Source organism: Homo sapiens, chromosome 10, assembly GCF_000001405.40.
Source record: "Homo sapiens chromosome 10, GRCh38.p14 Primary Assembly".
Classification (NCBI taxonomy): Eukaryota; Metazoa; Chordata; class Mammalia; order Primates; family Hominidae; genus Homo; species Homo sapiens.
Genome location: NC_000010.11, coordinates 30,854,826 through 30,872,958, shown reverse-complemented (window position 1 = coordinate 30,872,958; position 18,133 = coordinate 30,854,826). Strand labels below are relative to the sequence as shown.

Below are 18,133 nucleotides of genomic sequence, written 5' to 3'. Positions count from 1 at the left end.
ATGTATGTGTCTTATGTGCTAAGAAGTAGTTCACTGTGATTATGCCAATTGACCATTGAAGTTTGTATCTTGGGTAGTCAGAATGAATTTTAAGTTCCTACACAGTTGGTTAATGCAAGTCTCATTGTTCATTGGTCAGGAAGGAATCTTCATTTAAGTCAAGTGAGAGTCTGTTTTACTGGAGTCAATTCTTTTTTTTTTTTTTTTTTGAGACAGAGTCTCACTCTGTCACCCAGGCTGGAGTGCAGTGGTGCGATCTTGGCTCACTGCAAGCTCCGCCTCCCAGGTTCATGCCATTCTCCTGCCTCAGCCTCCCAAGTAGCTGGGACTACAGGTGCCTGCCCCCACCCCCGGCTAATTTTTTGTATTTTTAGTCAAGACGGGGTTTCACCATGTTAGCCAGGTTGGTCTCAATCTCCTGACCTCGTGATCTGTCCGCCTCGGCCTCCCAAAGTGCTGGGATTACAGGTGTCAGCCACTGCGCCTGACCTCTTTTTTTTTTTTTTTTTTTTTTTTTTTTTTTTTTTTTTTTTGAGACAGAGTCTTGTTCTGTCACCCAGGCTAGAGTGCAGTGGTGCAATCTCGGCTCACTGCAATCTCCACCTCCCGGGTTCAAGTGATTCTTCTGCCTCAGCCTCCCGAATAGCTGGGACTACAGGAGCGCACCACCACACGTGGCTAATTTTTGTATTTTTAGTAGAGAGGGGATTTTACCATGTTGGCCAGACTGATCTTGAATTTAACCCCCTGGCTTAAATTCCACTTGCTTGACTTGTACCTTGTAATCCGCCCACCTCAGCCTCCCAAGGTGCTGGGATTACAGGCCTGAGCCACCGTGCCTGGCCGAGTCTCTCAATTCTTAGTCACTTGTCAGCCTTACAGTTAAGTTTGCCATTTCCTAGACAAGTCTTCTGCAAGTAGAAAAGTTTTCTTATACAGTTCTTCTACCACTTTTCTCAACTCTGTCATAACATTTGTGTTATTTAAAGGTAGTTTTCAAATTGTGAGTGTTATTTCTATTTCATAAAAGTAAGAAGTCGGGGTGGAGAGAGCAAATGGTTTGACGCAGACACACAGGCGGCCCCCTCTGGACCCACTGCAGTTAGCTGGACATGTGCTGTACAGCTACTACTAATTTCCCAAATCTTTACATGATTTGACTGCACAACCACAGCCATTACTGTCTATCATGTGAATTCATATTTGAATCTTTTTTAAAAACCCCTAGATTTTCTGATTCAATAAAAAATGGTTATGATACTGTCTAAAAAATGTATTCTATGTCTTGCAGACATAAAAGTGTATACTTACAGCTTACAGACCTAACATTTTGGTATTTGTGAATAAGAATATTAGAACTCAAGTAAGGCATACTTAGGGAGGAGCTAGTTAATACTCATATCATTCTTAAAGTTTGAGGAAAAGACCTTACTTATTTTGGACTTAGTATCAATTAGGTCTTTTATAAAGTTCTTGATGAATTTTCTATCTTTAGTAGGATTTAAAGCGTCCTGGCATGTAGTAGGCTCTCAAAATGCATATTAAATTATGTATAAAATGCTTTAAACTCTCAAACAGTTTTTATAAATCAATCACACCTGTTGCTGTGAAAATATTGTCATCTTTTTTTTTAATGAAACACCAAAGTGGATGGAATTCTAAGGCCAATGAAAGCAAATGTTCATTTAACAAGTATTTATTGCCTTTGAAGAGACAATGAGCAAAAGAAGCAAAGGGGGGAAAATAAAACCAAACTAAGCTCCTCTCTTGCAGCTGTTGTAATTAATAACACTGGGCTGCCTATCCAAGCAGGGGTTTCCTTTTATGGGGATTTAACCTGAAAGTGGTTTATTCTTGTTATCTAATCGTAGTTTCACTCTTTCGAACATGGTATGAAAGCTATTTTCTTAAGCTCTCTATTTTTTTCTTTTCCTCCTTGGCCATATCTCCCCTTTCCTCTCCATCTGGTGAAGGAACACTGATCTGGACAGCTGAGCTCTGGTCATTGTTACATGCTTCTTTTTAGGCTCTGTGATCTTGGCCAAATAAGTAAACCTCAGTCCCTTCATCTTTCCAATGGAGATAGTAATTCTCATCCTGTAACAGTCAAATGCAGTAGGTATGGTTGATTCTCATTATTTGTAGTGTTTATATTCTAGAAGGCTATTAGGAACACTGAATTAGCAAATACTGAGCCATTTGTTCCTAGGCGATATTCAAGGATAGGTTCTTGTGAGCCTCTAGTCACAACATTTTTGTCAACAGCTGATACATGACCTTGTTATAAGTGTATTTCTGTTAAAAGATACTTTATTTAATAGACAGGGTTAATTTTTTAACATTGAACTCAGAGACACAGCACTATAACTCATGCCCCAACAAAGCTTCTCTAATACAAGTGTTTTCTCCGTAGAGCACATCCCAGTTCTCTTGTGTTAGGAGCACTAGACAGCACCCAGCACTATGCTGGAGACCGTAAGTAAACAGTAAAATCACCAAGAAAAAGAAGCACAAAAAATGCAAAAAAAAAAAAGTGACAGTTTTTGAAATGTAAAAAGGATGCGTGTTTACAGTATGAGAGCTGAAAGAAGAAGGCAGGACATCACCTTGTTCTGCCTAACCTGGGAATTTGCGTGTCAAGTGGCTCAAACTTTTTTTTTCTCCACACATGTCCATGAATGACCGTGAAAGCACCACAAGTATTGATTTTGGGGTTAAAAATAAATTTTAGCAAGTAGGCAAATTCACAAATACAGAATCTACAAATAATGAGAATCAACTGTATATGAATACACCTTGTAAAAACTTTGAAAGCACAGTAGAAGCCTCAGGATAATTTACAGAATAAAAGCTATTTTTTATGACGTTTTTCTCAGATAAAATGACTTTGTGCATTATAAATTTCAAGTTAATAAAGTAACATATTATTTGAAGGTGACCATAAATTCTTAGTTCAGTAAAGCTACAAAGAAAACTACTATTGCAAGATCTGTGACTCTCCAGCCCTCACATTGAACACACAGTAGCAAGGAGTACCACTGTAATTTGATGCTTTGCATTTAGTGCTTAACATTGCTTTATGACCTCACTATTGGGGGAAAATATCATTCCCTATGTATTACCAAAATATTATGTTTCCAAATATGTGATATTCATATGGAAACATTTTGATCTTAACAAGTGGTGTAAATGCTGTTCTTGGACTTTTGGTACCATTTTATGCTGCAGAGCAAGTACAGATTGACATTTGCAAGCTGGTTTTGGTTAACTACTTAATGTTGGAAATTGGAACTTTCTGATGTAATAACTTCTACAAAATACCATTGTGCATTATTAGTATGTTATACTGTTGACAGAAGAACAAATGGAAAACACACACATGCCTGTAGAAATATCCTTTTAGAATAAATGGAAATGACCTGGGTGGCCTAAAACCATAAAGTAGACCAGCCATATATGGAAGTTGAAATAAAATATTAGAGTTTAAAATATTAGTAAATTTAGATTATGAGTATTTTTGTTGTTTAAAATAGCTGTATTTCTTTCTTTCCTCTTTCTTTTCTTTTCTTTTTTGTTTTGTTTTTGAGACGGAGTTTAGCTCTTGTTGTCCAGGCTGGAGTGCAATGGTGTGATCTTGGCTCACTGCAACCTCCGCCTCCCTGGTTCAAGCGATTCTCCTGCCTCAGCCTCCCAAGTACCTGGGATCACAGGCACGCACCACCACACCTGGCTAATTTTTTGTATTTTTAGTAGAAACAGGGTTTCACCGTGTTAGCCAGGCTGGTCTCAAACTCCTGACCTCAGGTGATCTGCCTGCCTTGGCCTCCCAAAGTGCTGGGATTACAGGCGTGAGCCACTGTGGCCGGCCGAAATAGCTGTATTTCTGTTGCCTGAAAAACAGGCTGGTAATCGGATAATTTACTTGGGTATGTATCATTGTCAGTGTGGCCGTTTGGCAGCAGAGTCTCTCAGAAATTCCAATTAACCATGTAAATATATTTCATAGCATCACATCTCACTTTGTCAGAACCCCTGCTGCCTTTATATCATTAACATAAATGCAGGTGCAAATAGCATTTATGTACTTTGATAGAAAGCAGTTGGAGACATTTCACTGTGGGACACAACACTTCCAGATTGTGTACATCTGTTCAAATAATGTATCCAGCCCCAGTGACATGAACACAAGGATGGAAACATCTGCCCCTGAGACCATTTGCAATATAGCAGATGCTTGCATCTTTATTTATGCAGATGGTTAGTGTGATGGCTTGAGCAGGGATAAAAGCAAAGTAGTTTGACAGGGGTATTTAGGATTTTATGCAAGCCAAAAATAAAGGATAGGCATTTTCTGTTTTTAAAAATCTAATAGCAATAGGAATAGAAATTCATAAATCTAGTAATGCTTTTTAATAGAGTAAACATATTGTTCTTGTCTTTAAATTAATGGGCAACAAAATCCTAAAAACATTTATAGAATTCCAGCATCTAACTTGTATTAATTAGGAAGAGCAACTTATGATTACTTTTGTTTGGATAAAATAATTTTAAATGACTTTGAATACTTTTTGTTTAAAAAAATCCTTCAGGCCGGGCACGGTGGTTCACACCTGTAATCCCAGCACTTTGGGAGGCTGAGGCGGGCGGATCACCTGCGGTCAGGAGTTCAAAACCAGCCTATCCAACATAGTGAAACCCCATCTCTACTAAAAATGCAAAACATTAGCTGGGTGGGGTGGCGGGCACCTGTAATCCCAGCTACTTGGGAGGCTGAGGCAAAAGAATTGCTTGAACTGGGGAGACGGAAGTTGCAGTGAGTTGAGATCGTGCCATTGCACTCCAGCCTGGGCAACAAAAGCGAAACTCCGTCTCAAAAAAAAAAAAATTCTTTAAAAACACTGCTCTGTTTTTTGAAAAGATTATATACTACCAAGAGTATCTTGTGATGATATTTCTTAAAATTGGGGGAAAAATATAAATGTCATTTGAATATAACTTATACTCCATAAATATAAATTTAAGTAAGATAAGTTTTTGAAACATTATATAAGATTTTTGTCAAGCATTTTATTTGGTTCATATTCTAATGTTGACAGCTAGTGATATTTTAATTATAATTAATATTTGTGTTAGGATGACTTACCTTTTAATACTTTATTATCAAAACTCTCTCCTATTGATCTGCCATGTTATATTCTCAAGGAAACAAAGGTGAAGGGAATAAAACCTAACAACAAAAAGTAAAACATTTCTAGATGTGATTTTCTATTCTCATTCACACAAACCTGCCCACTCGTACTCATCAACACACACAATTATAGAATCTCAAAAGACATAGGAAGTTAGATTTCATCTAATTCAGTTGTTCTCAGACTTTGTAGCTTCAGGACCCTTTACACTCTCAAAAATTATTGAGGACTCTAAAGAGCATTTGCTTGTATGGGTTGTATCTGTCAATATTTACCATATTGGGTGATTATAAAAAATATTGAAATATTTATGTCATTTTGAAATAACAGCTCATTACATCTTAACAAAAATAACCTAGTTTAACGAAATTGACTATACTATAAAACTAATGACAAAAACCACAATTACTTTTGCACCAACCTAAATATTTTTCTAAAGCAAAAAAAATAATGAGAAGACTGGCATTGATTTACATTTTCTGCAAATATCTTTAAATTCTGGCTTCATTGAAGATAGTTTGAGTCTCATATCTAGTCCTGCATTCAGTCAGTTGTGATGTTGTATATGTTGACATATTTTTTTAAAAGCCAGCTTTCCAGTAGTCAGAAAGGAAGGGGATATTTTGGTAGGCTTTTCAGATAATCATGGATATTTTTCTTTGATACTATGCCAAAGTTTGTCAGATGGAAACTTCTTTCAGTTTAATTGTACTGTGAAATTTGAAACCCTGTCCATGTACTTTTGTATTCTATTAGATTTTGAGTCTCATACTTAAGTGATTCTTTTATCCACGCATGTAACGTTAAACTAAACTGGTCATTTAGAAAACACTAGTTAAGTGAGTTAAGCAAATCTTCCATATACTTCATTGTGCGATATTTTAAAAATCATTCATTAACGTAAGCACCAGTTTTCGTTTTTGGTTTTTTTTTTTTGAGACAGAGTCTCGCTCTGTCGCTCAGGCTGGAGTGCAGTGGCGCGATCTCGGCTCACTGCAAGCTCCACCTCCCAGGTTCATGCCATTCTCCTGCCTCAGCCTCCCGAGTAGCTGGGACTACAGGTGCCTGTCACCACGCTCGGCTAATTTTTTGTATTTTTAGTAGAGGAGGGGTTTCACCGTGTTAGCCAGGATGGTCTCGATCTCCTGACCTCGTGATCTGCCTTCCTTGGCCTCCCAAAGTGCTGGGATTACAGGCGTGAGCCACCGCGCCTGACCCATAAGCACCAGTTTTACCTGAAAAGTAACTACTGGGAAACTTCAAGTTCCTGGTGGTGAATTCAAATTTTCCAAAATTCCAATTGCCACTTGAAAGAAAATGACTTTTATCATTGGCAACAAATACTGTTAGAAGTTCTTTCTTGTAATGCCAAGTTCCATTCATTCACTTTTGAGAAAATGTCTGCCAGATACCCAAGTCTTAATATGTTCATTCAACATATTTCAGCATATGTCTGTCAGCCATTTTATTCAAGTAAAAATTGTATTCCATGAAAAAAGTAGCCAGGTCAGCTTTACGGCTGAATTGAGTGCTTGTCCTCAGAACAACAGTCCTATTTCCATATGCAGCAGACATGTACTCTGACTGTGAACGATTTCATCACAGAATATTAAAAAGGCATGTACTCAAGGATCAAAATTTTATAAAACTAAAATTTTGTACTGCTTTTTTGTTGTTCCACTGTGAGAGTACCACAGTGAAGAATATGACTGCTTGAACAGTTTGTGGGCACTACCTTACTTGGCTAAGTTGCTAGAGAAGTTTTACCCCATCAGCGCAACAAGTGCAAATGTCGACACAAGGCAAATGACATCTTGATATGAGTATGAAAAGAGTATTCGGGACCCTTCCTGAGGTTCTGCAAACCCTACTTTGAGAAACACTAATCTAATCTAATCCCCTCTTGCTAAAGAGAGGAAACTACGGCCAGGAAGGCCGAAGGATTATTATCTTGCTCAAATTCATTCCAGCAGTATAATAAATAGAAACACCAAAGCCAGACGTCTACTCTCTATCATACACGAAATGCAGTTTGTCTTGTTTTCTCTGAGGAACTCCTCCCCCAGCCTTCCGCAAAAAGAAAATTCCTCAGATCCAAATCATTACACCATAGCACTGATATATTATCAAGTTTAGTAAAGGAGCAGGACTTGCCACATAAGGAATTTAGAAATTGTTTTAGCATTTTAGACTTTTCTTTCAGTCCTAGTGTTCTTTAGTGTCATCAGTTTTAGAAGAAGGTGGTGTAAGATTAAGAAGTATCTAAGAAATGTATATTATTTTTAAAATTATAAAAGACCTTTGTCATTTTTTTTCTTCATTTTTACTCATTGAAGAATTACTTTGTCGCTGCTTAAAAGTGTCATTAAATGTATTGTGTAATTGTTGCTTCAGAAAAGTCAGATTCTGGTGTGAGCCTGATTTGGTCACCAGAAGTTCTGTTAAAAGAAGGCCATAGATACAGTGCTGTAGGGTATTGCGCATTGCTATGTGTGAGTTCATTAACTACCTCTCCAGTGACCATGCTGTAGATGTCTCTTAGAAGAAAGACATGTTCTCTCTCTCCTAACAGTTGCACTGTGATTGGAAAAAGGTTGTTCAAAAAGATCTTTCTTTTCTCAACATTGAGATGGATTATGTGGCACTCACCGGTCACTGGAAGAGACTGACATGTAAACAGATAAATTGCTAAACAACTTAGTTCTAAGTTCAGCGTGTTGGAATGGAGGGAGAACAGCTTTGGTGCCAGACAGTCCTGGGTTAAAATCCAAGTCTCAATACCTGCTTTGTGATCTTGCAAGAAGTGTTGTTTTCACATCTATGGACTGGAGGTGTTAATACCAAGAATTGGTGAAGGACTTGAGATAGTAGATTAAGCATTCAGTCTAACTTCTGACTGAGGGGCATTTTAGTTGTTCAAAATAGAACTTCAGGATTCTAGGGGTTCGAGGGAAGAATAGAAATAGATGAGTAGAGGCGGTGTATATGTACACATCTACCATAGATTGTCTCAGGAAGAAAAGGAAGGAGATGGGGCCTAACGACTCTTTCTTGTTGCTGTTGTTTTTCTGTTTTTGTGTTCAGCAGTAGCATAGCAGAAGGAAGCCATGTCAATATGGTTGAGAGTTAATAGTTCGTTCCTTCAGTAAAAATTATGTTGTACAACTGCTAGCTGCTGATCTGGAGACTGAGACCCTGTCAGTAACAAAACAAACCCCTGCTCTTTTGGAGCTCACATTTTAGCGAGGAGACAGATAATGTAATATCATCGTGAAGGTAAGTACCTCGAAGGACAGTGAAGCAGAAAAAGAAAATAGCAAGTGATCACATGGAGCTGAGCAGCTCCTTTTAGACAGGATGGTCACAGGCCAGCCTCCCTGAGAGCTGGGGAGCTCACCAATGGTGCAGTATCCCCGAGGCACAAGGGGCCTGGAAGGAAGGGTAGCCTCCAGACCAGGGTTGGGAATACTCCATTTCCTTATTTTCAGATGCACCTTTTTGTACATTTTAATATATCAGGATTTGAGCATTGTATATTTAGAGTTATAGTACTTCTCCTTTCCCCCATCACAGAAAAGGTTTTTATAAATTTATTTGTGTGGCATAATCAAAGACAAAAAGGGAGTTTACAAATAAAAGGGACAGTGAATGAGTTCCCACATAATAGCCTCTCTTTTTTCCACGAAGTCAATGTCAAAAAACATTGGCAAGAGAGAGATGGCCCTGGGGATAGGGCAGGGGTGGGACAGAGGGAGAGTGCCTCAGAAGAGCAGAGGAAGGAATGTGGGCCGCCAAGAGTCTCTTAGGGACAAGTAAATAGACTGTGGAATCGGTTTTGAACTAGAAACTTTAAACTTAGAACACTGTCCAGCGTTCACAATGGTTGGATTTCTCCAGCACCAAATAACAGGCGGTGGAAGTGGAGAGCACAAGGTGGGGCCAGCTAGGCAAGGTTCTGTAGGAAGACAGCAAGGGGGCGAACCTACAATATGAGGGGAGTGCGTGTGGATGCTCAGCCAGGAGGCCGGCTCTGGAATGGGAGGATCTACCTAAGGAGACCACTCACAGGCACACATAGCCTCGGGGCAAGGAGAAGCAGTGGGCTGTGTCATCACTCCATCTCCAGGGAGGTGGGAAAGTTAACTCTGACATACTCTTCATCTGTGGATGAGAATAGATATTCCCTTCAACCCAGGTTTCATAGTCATCACTAAAAGACAATAAACATATTGATGGAGAAGAAGGATGGCAGAATTCAAAGGCAAAGGAATCCAAAGTAGTCACCACAGCTTTCAAACTCTGCCGCCTTCACTCTTGGTACTGGCTCAGGTCAGAATCTGATGGCATCAGTCACACGACAGGATCTGTAGATGCCAGCTAACTCATAGACAACTAACCTGGTCAGCTCCTCAAAGGTGACCAGCACAAACCAGTCACCTCAGTACCCACCAGTGCCTGGGACTTCATGTTCTTTTTTATTATTTTCTTCAAAGTGTCAGTATTGTAGATGGTCTCTCTATGTTAAGGAAAGGTGTGTCTTCATTAAAGAAATAAGGAACAGTCAAGACTTACCAGCAGAAATGTTAGGGAATAATTATCAGCATAACAGGGGAATACTTGACTTCTTAAAGATCCGTGGCTGTCCACCCTTGTGCATTTGTACTTACAAATCATGAACTATTTGACATAAAAGCTGAGGTATAGAAAAACGTGCAGCAAAAAAATGTTATAAATCACTGTGAGTTAAAGATAAATCAGCAGTGAAGATAAAGCATCTGTAAAACTCTACTATAAAACAGTGAAACAATTCATTTTTTAAAATGTAGTTTGCACATTCCTCAAAAATACCTCTTTTAGATAAAGTGAACTTACTTTTGAAATTATAGTATAAAAGCGATATCTTTGTAATTTTGGTTCCCTGCATTTTGAAACATTGTGATCTTTACCACTTTAGTTTCATAATCATAGTGTTTTGACCAAAGGCAAGAAACTTCCAGCCTTTTGCATGTGTCCTAGTTTAATTGTTCCAACTGACTTCACATTCTGATGTTGAAACCTTATCTTTCTGTTTATCCCACTGAGGAAAAGGTTTTCTTCACCAACTGTCATCTTGTTAGTCATCAAAGATACTTAACTGTTGCAACTGCTATTGAAAACTAAAAGTAGGCCGGGTGCAATGGCTTATGCTTGTAATTCCAACACTTAGGGAACTGAGGTAGGAGGACCTCTTGAGCCCAGGAGTTTGAGGCCAGCCTGGGAAACATGGTGAGACTTCAACTCTACAAAAAAATGTTTAAAAACTAGCCACACAGGGTGGTGTGCATGTGTTGTTCCAGCTACTTGGGAGGCTGAGGCAGGAGGATCACTTGAACCCAGGAGTTTGAGGCTGCGGGTGAGCTATGATCATACCATTGCCCTCCAGCCTGGGTGATAGAGCGAGTCCCTGTCTCAAAAGAAAAAGAAAATATAAAGAAAAAGGGCCCATTTTTAGTTTGTTGGTGGAAGATTTCTTGCCATGCCATATCTGTGCAGCTCACTAAACCTCTTTTGTGGATGTTTCCATGTTCACCAGCCCCATTGAGAAACAGCTGACTCGGCAAATGTCAGAATGTTCTGGAAGGACAGCGTGCACAGGTATTTGTGATGGTGATAGAAGGTCAAATGAAATGACCTGCTGCTTTTCACCATGTTGGAGTTCAGTTGTCAAGGTCCAAATTTCAACTGTAGGACTCAACTGAGTATTAACAATTTTAGTGATAATAACAACAAAAAGAATATTGAGAGAATGGGGTTAACAAAGCATTTCAGAAGTTTCCATTTGCCTGGCTTAGTGTCCTTGGAAGGTCATTAGCTCTTAGTTAACTTCTTATGCTCCTCGGTCATTCTTAGATTTGAGTAAAGATACTGGCTTGGATGTTTTGTAATAATGAATAAAATCTTTTGCGTGCTACAAATTATTTTTGCCAAAAAATAAACAACTTTATCTTTCTAAATGTATTAAAAACAAACATAATTTCATATGGCTTTCAACCATTTTTTATCAGAAGCATTCCAAATCAAAAACAATTCCTTCCAGAAATAACTAATAAAAGCTTCATAATTAGAATGAAGAAGAAATTCATTGAAATTGAGAATCATTAAAATATATTTTAAGTGGTAAAGCTTTTTAAATGTACTTTTCCCTTGGGACATTAACTATATGGCCCTGAAAGAATAATTAGTTACTTCAGTTTATCAACCACATTGTGTTATTTTTTTTAATTGCCACTAGTATTCTAGGTAATTGGCTTTTAAATTCTTTCACAAAGAATGCTTGTTTCCTCTTGCAGCATGATATAGCCAGCCCTCCACATCCTGTTCTGCATCTGTGGGTTCTGCATCCATGGATTCAACTAACCAGAGATTGAAAAAAAATTTCGAACTGCATCTATATTGAATATGTATAGACATTTTTTTCCTTGTCATCATTCCCTAAATAATACAGTAAAACAACTATTTACATAGTATTTACATTGCACTAGGTATTAAAAGCAGTCTAAAGGTGATTTGGGGTATACAGGAGGAGGTATGCATAGGTTATGTGCAAACACTGTGCCATTTTACATCAGGGTTTTGAGCATCTATGGATTTGCGTGTCTAAAGGAGGTCATTGTCCTGTGGAGGAACCAATCCCCCACAGATGGTAAGGGACAACTGTATTTATATATCTCATTTAGTCCATTTTAGGGGCTATAGTTCCTCTTTCAGTGCCTAACTTTTCTTTCTGTACTCAGGCTGTCTTAAAACTTATAATAATTTATTCGGCAAAATACTAAAGTCTGCAAGGCAAGTGTCCCTAACCCCACTCTGGGCCCCATCCCCCATCACAGGGCCACTGAGATCTGTACTTACCCCACTTTCTTGAACAACTACTAGGGTAGTTGCTTTCTTCCCTGCTAGGTTTAAGACCAACAGTTGGCCTCACTACTTACTAGGTATAAACAAAAGTGGGAAGGAGTGTCTCCATAAAGTAGCTCTTTAAAATGCATGTATGTTAACCCTATTCGCATTGAATTGTTAATCCAATTAGCACTTTATCAACTGGGATACAAAAATTTACAGAAGGGCAAGTGGGAGTGGGTTCTGGACAGGGAATCAAAGAGCCTGGCAAGACGGATTGGATTAGATGTTAGGAAAGATTGAGCTACCAGCGTGAGTGTCAAAAGAGAGGCACAAGATTTAAAATACAGTTTCATTATTTACAAGCATAGAGGCAAAGGAAAACTTCCTCTTCACCCCTCTGAAGGTTCACTGATAATGAGCTGACAGATCAGCAGATTAATTGGAGAAAAGGTATATACATTGAATCAGCTGTGTTACATGACACGAGAGCTTTCAGAATGCAGACCCAAAGATGGGAAACTGTCCGTTTTCATGCTGAGGTTCAACAAAACATGGATAGTTGTGGAGAAATATAATTGAACAAAAGGGATGTCATCTAATGCTAATAGAGTGAGTGAGGAAACCCAGCAAGGCTTGTCTGTTTTGGATTGCTATTGACCTCTCTGTGGAACATCCCTTCCTTCTGGGTATGAGGCAGGACCCTCTCTGGAATGCGGGTCCGATGACCTACAATCAAACAAGTAGGTCAGATCATTTCTTTATGGCCAAGGTTAGAGTAATAATTTCAGGTTTTATGGTTGGCTTTGGGGAAAAGTGGTTCTGGTTTCTATGACTCACCTTGGGGAAGAGGGATTCTAGATTCTATGGCTAATCTCGGGGGGAAAATGAAGGGCCAGGGACAGAAGGGCAGAGAGATTTTTGCTTCTGAGGTCTTCATTTTGGGAAGCTATCTTTTGAGGCCAGCACAAGTAATAGCCATTTCTTTTCTCTTTCCTTCATTTACGTTTCAAAATAGAAACACTACTTTAAGGATTCAGAACTACTTCCATATGCTGATCATTCAAGATTTGTGCCTTTTTTTTCCCAACAAAAATAAATGTCAACAACCTGATAGTCTCTAGCAAGAGAAAGTGGAAAACTAGTATATCTGCTGAGCATCTAACATGTAGCAGGAACTACTTGCACCATCATGGGTATTTTTCTCATTTAATCCTGACAGGGACCTTTGTAGGCAGATATTATTATGCCCATTTCATAGATCCTAACATTTAGGCACAGAGAGTGAAGTGCCAAAGCCACAGGTACATGACAGAGCCAGGAGTTGAAACCAAATCTGTCTAAACCCCAAAACACACAGTCTTTCTACTGAAGATCAGATGCTGGCCATAACCACACATAGTAGCTTACAGTCAGCATGCAGAGGTAGAAAGAGCCTTTGGAATAAAATGGGCTAGGATTTGAGTTCCAGCACTGTTACTTATGAGCTTAGAAATCCTTGTAAAACAGACTTGGCTGGGCACAGTGGCTCACGCCTGTAATCACAGCACTTTGGGAGGCTGAGGCAGGTGGATTGCTTAAGTCCAGGAGTTCAAGACCAGCCTGGAAATATGGCAAAACAATATATAAAAAAATACAAAAATTAGCCCAGCATGTTGGTGTGCGCCTGTAGTCCCAGCTACTTGGGAGGCTGACGTGGGAGGATCAGCTGAGCCTGGGGAGTTTGAAGCTGCAGTGAGCCGTGATTACACCACTGCAGTCCAGCCTGAGTGACAGAGTGAGACCCTGTCTCAAAAACAAACAGATACAACAGTGGTTCCTAATTCAGGTTTTTTGGGTATTAAGTGAGATAATGCATGTTATATATTTTGCACAGTACCTAACCCATAAAATCTGCTTATCATTGGGATAATATTAAAGAAACAGTATTGATAAAGAAGCTCAGCTCCTCAGAAAATGAGAATTTCCTTCCCTGCGAAGTGAGGTGATGGATGCACTGTTTGACAAGACAAATCTCAAAGGCCTGTGCTGAGTGGAAGTTGCCCTGCATGTCACTGGTGGTGTTAAGGAGGGAGAGGGGAGTTAGCTAAGAGCAATAATTGAGCAGAACACACAAGTATGTCAAGGAGAATGGACTAAACTAGATTCAGGATACAAGATCTCCAGTTAGGAATGTGCTTGTTTCCTTTGCATTGTCTCAAATTTCCTGAAACTTAGGTCTGAGACATGATGACTCTAGGAGGTCTCCATGCTGCAGATATGTGGACTAGAAATGCATTTGGCATCCTGAGTCCTTAGAAACAAAAGAACACTTGTGCCTATTGCCGGCACGTTTTACAGTGCATGCTCCATAGTCAGTGCTCAATAAATTCCTGTTGACTCTGACTGCTGCTGCAGACCCTGGACAGTAGCTTGGGGAGAGGGTAGGCAATGGCTAAAGGTGTTTATAGGTTTTTCAACAAAATTAAGTTGCACTCCCTTGTGTTATGAGACATTGCTTTTATCCCAGACCTCTCCAGGGTTTTACCATATTTATTTTAACTAGAGACCATCTTGGGAAACAGTTTGAACCCCAAGTGGAATTTATTATTTGAAAGCCAAGTGGCAGGGAAAACAGGGATAACAACGAATGAAATTGAAAATAGAGTATTTCAGTTTAATAAAATTAAAACCAGAACAACACCTAAAATTTTTGGCTCTTTAGTGACCAAGACTTGGCAGAACTTTCCTCGTGAGCCTGGATCCAGGGGGCCTGTTTCAAGAGCAGGGACACGCCTCTCTTTCTCTGCCTGCTCCCTTCTGCACTCTTAGCAGTAGGCCTGTGGGCCCCAGCAGATGGAATAATGGAACTTTGCCCAAACCAGCGACCAGAAGAGGTTGAACAACTTTATTCAGAAGCAACAGAGCAGGCTTTGGTTCTGCCAATGGACATCAGGAAGTGAGCTGTTTGTAGCTATCTAGAGAATTGCCTCATGTGCTTGTCTCTTAATACTATTTGTGGTAGCTGCATTGTGAAACAGTTTAATAAAGCTGGGTAAGACATTGGCACCTAGTGCTATTGAGCCCTCATTCTTTCCTCCACTGCCTTTAACATGTAAATGATATCCATCAGATCCAATCCTTTGATGGCAATGGAGGAGGAGGAGGACACACGTTGCACATTCTCCAAATATCCAACAGCCTTTCTGGATTTCTCAGAGTCCTATGGATAGTAAGTGGCAAATTCAAATATAAAAATATGCTTTTGCTTTCAAATGACTATTAATTTTCTGTGAGTTATCTCTAATAAGTGGGCTTTCAGAAAGTTAGTATAATTTAATGGTAATAGAAATTTTAGGCCAGATGGGGTGGCTCATACCTGTAATCCCAACACTTTGGGAGGCCAAGGCGGGTGGATCACTTTAGGTCAGGAGTTCAAGACCAGCCTGGCCAACATGGTGAAACCCCGCCTCTACTAAAAATAGAAAAATTAGCTGGGCATGGTGGCACATGCCTGTGATCCCAGCTACTCGGGAGGCTAAGGCAGGAGAATCACTTGAACCTGGGAGGTAGAGGTTGCAGTGAGCCAAGATCTCACCACTGCATTCCAGCCTGGGTGACAGCAAGACTGTGTCTCAAAAAAAAAAAAAAAAGAAATTTTAGAATATGACAAGCCATTTCTATTTCAAAATTTATTTTTTCTATTTAAAATTTAGATATGGTATTATATTTTGTGATAAATTCAGACAACTTTACATATAATCCCCCTGCCCTTTGAAGGAAAATGAAGAAAAAGGTCATTGCTTCAAATTGGAGTGGGACAGCTCTGGGTTATGTGGACTTTGGCAGATTATTTAACTTCCTCAAACCTCATTTTTCTTAATCTGTGTAAGGGGAACAGTAATACTTATTCGCAGAGTTTGGATGAAGATTTAATTAAAAGACCTAGCATTAATTCTAGACCATAATAAGGGCTCAACACTTCCTAGTTTCCCTTTAATCCCAGCTAGATCAATTTCTCACCAACTGTAAATGTCACTTTTCAAAATTGTTATTTTAGTATGCTTAACATATTAAAAACAGCCCATATTTAAGATCCTAATATTAAGTATTCCTGTTGAATAATTGTACACAATTAATTTTACTGAGCGACACTTTTATGTCTTCAGTTAATAAAAGTCCATGTTTAGTACCTGAGAGTCCTGTGAGTCTCTTTAACTGTGTTACGGGTAGTTGTGCAGGATTTCCAGAAATTATGAATGTCAGTGGAAATTTTTACTTCTCATTATTTAGTGCACAGTTCTGTAAGATCTGTAATTTAGTGGGTGCAGGTGAGAGTTTTTAGATCACACCATCTGTGAAAGGCCTTGTAAATGTGTAGTGGAATAAACCACTGTTGTATAACTATATTGCCAAGAAAGACTCTGCAGACATACTATCTTAGTATGTTAGAGTTTTTGAAAACTTAATGGCATTTTCAGCTTCTGTAAGGACTCCTGTTGTTCAGACTACTAAAAAACAAAACAAAACAAAACAAAAAAACACGAGTTATTCTAGCATAACTGGCCTTTATTGCAAATTGCCTTATTTTATCTTAAAGAGCAAATGTTTGGAGGAATAATTTGTACAACTCCACTTGTCCTTGGGAGGTAATGAGCTCTAATACTTCTCAGTGCTTAACTTTGGTGGATAGTTATGCACTGCCTGTCGGATTACTTACTAGATTACTTCCCTGATCGTTAGCAATTCTTGTCATTAAGTAGTCAAGGAAAATAAAAGACATGAGCCATTCTCTGTGTGTACATCTAGACAGTCATTTATGCATAGACACACACTCATCACAAATATCCCAAAAGATACTGCTTTTTAAAACTGATTCAACTAGGGAAACTTTCGTTTTCCTTTCATTCATTAAACAAATATGTCTAAGCACCTCCTGTGTGCCAGGCACAGAGCGTATTCGGTGGGAAGTTAGCACTTATCCCATTCCTGACTTCTTAGTTCCTCCAGGTCCCTCCACCCAACAAAGGCCACCATAATCCTGATTTCTTTTGTTTCATTTCAGAGATATTCTGCACATATAAAGGATATATTTGTGTGTGTATCTTCTCATTTTTGTTAATCCAAGTGATAGCATACTGTACATCTCCCATCTTGGAGAGTATTCCAGATCACCCTGATTCATTCTTTGTTTTTATTACTGCGTGGTATTACATTGTATGGTTGGATGATTATCTTATTAGCACCCTGTTGGTGGACACTTAAGTAATTACGAGGGTTTTTTCTCTTCTGTTTCTGTGGCCTTGCTGTCTTTCTCCTGCCTTGCATTTCTACTAACACATTGGTTTAGTTATTTATCCATAATGATTCTGAGAAATTGGATTCAACACCACCTTCATGGAGACCCTTAACCTTGTATGTACTTCCTGATAGATCCAGACAAGCATAAGTATGTTAAATGTACTCAACAAGACCTTATCTTTTCACCCCACAAACTCTTTGTGATTAGCTTGTGATATTGATCATGAACCACCTGATAAGACTTTCAACCCCAGCATCCACTTCTTTAAATCGCAGGGACCTTGAGGAGCACGGACTCAGTTTGGCAGACATCATACCAGTCGTCTGGGCCTCTGTCACTTCAGGTTGCCCACACTGCTCACACTGATCGGTGCTCTCGCAGCCAGGACAGAGCTCAGGAGTGTCCTGTTGTTCCCAGGCCACAGTGGCCTCCTTTTCCTTTGAATGCCCTTGCTCTTCCTATGTGATTTTATTTCCACTATAATGTGGAGACATTTGAAGATCCGTTGAAGCACATTTACTTCAAATATATCATAATTAGCTCACTCCCTTTTGGTATGGCTCTATGAAGTATATCTGGTTTCATTTCTGGAAACCTTAACTGTCAGAAGGTTGCTTTCTCACACTTGGTCATAAAAAATAGGAAGCCCCTTCCCAACTTAAGTCTTTAGAGACTTCGAGGTGACCTTGACCACTGTTGTTGCTTCAGCTGCATCTTTTGCTGTCTGTTATTTCTGCCTTTCTTCTTGTTGACATTACCATGCTCTGCCTCCGAGGTTCAGTTT

At 39.2% G+C, this 18,133-nt stretch overlaps 1 protein-coding gene across 56 annotated transcripts in view; it reads left to right on the top strand.

The window, feature by feature from the left end:
* Window positions 1-18,133, top strand: part of ZNF438 (zinc finger protein 438) — a 187,780-nt gene that overhangs the window by 159,453 nt on the left and 10,194 nt on the right. For 6 of the 56 annotated variants that reach the window (NR_170660.1, NM_001143771.2, XM_006717399.4 and 3 more), the window contains one exon: window positions 15,181-15,279. The exons of the other annotated variants lie outside the window; for them this stretch is intronic. Coding sequence is in view for 5 of the 6 variants with exons in the window: in NM_001143771.2 (NP_001137243.1) it covers window positions 15,273-15,279 (7 nt within the window). In the remaining variant the exon portion in view is untranslated. The remainder of the gene's footprint in view (window positions 1-15,180; window positions 15,280-18,133) is intronic. 56 annotated transcript variants of the gene reach the window in all.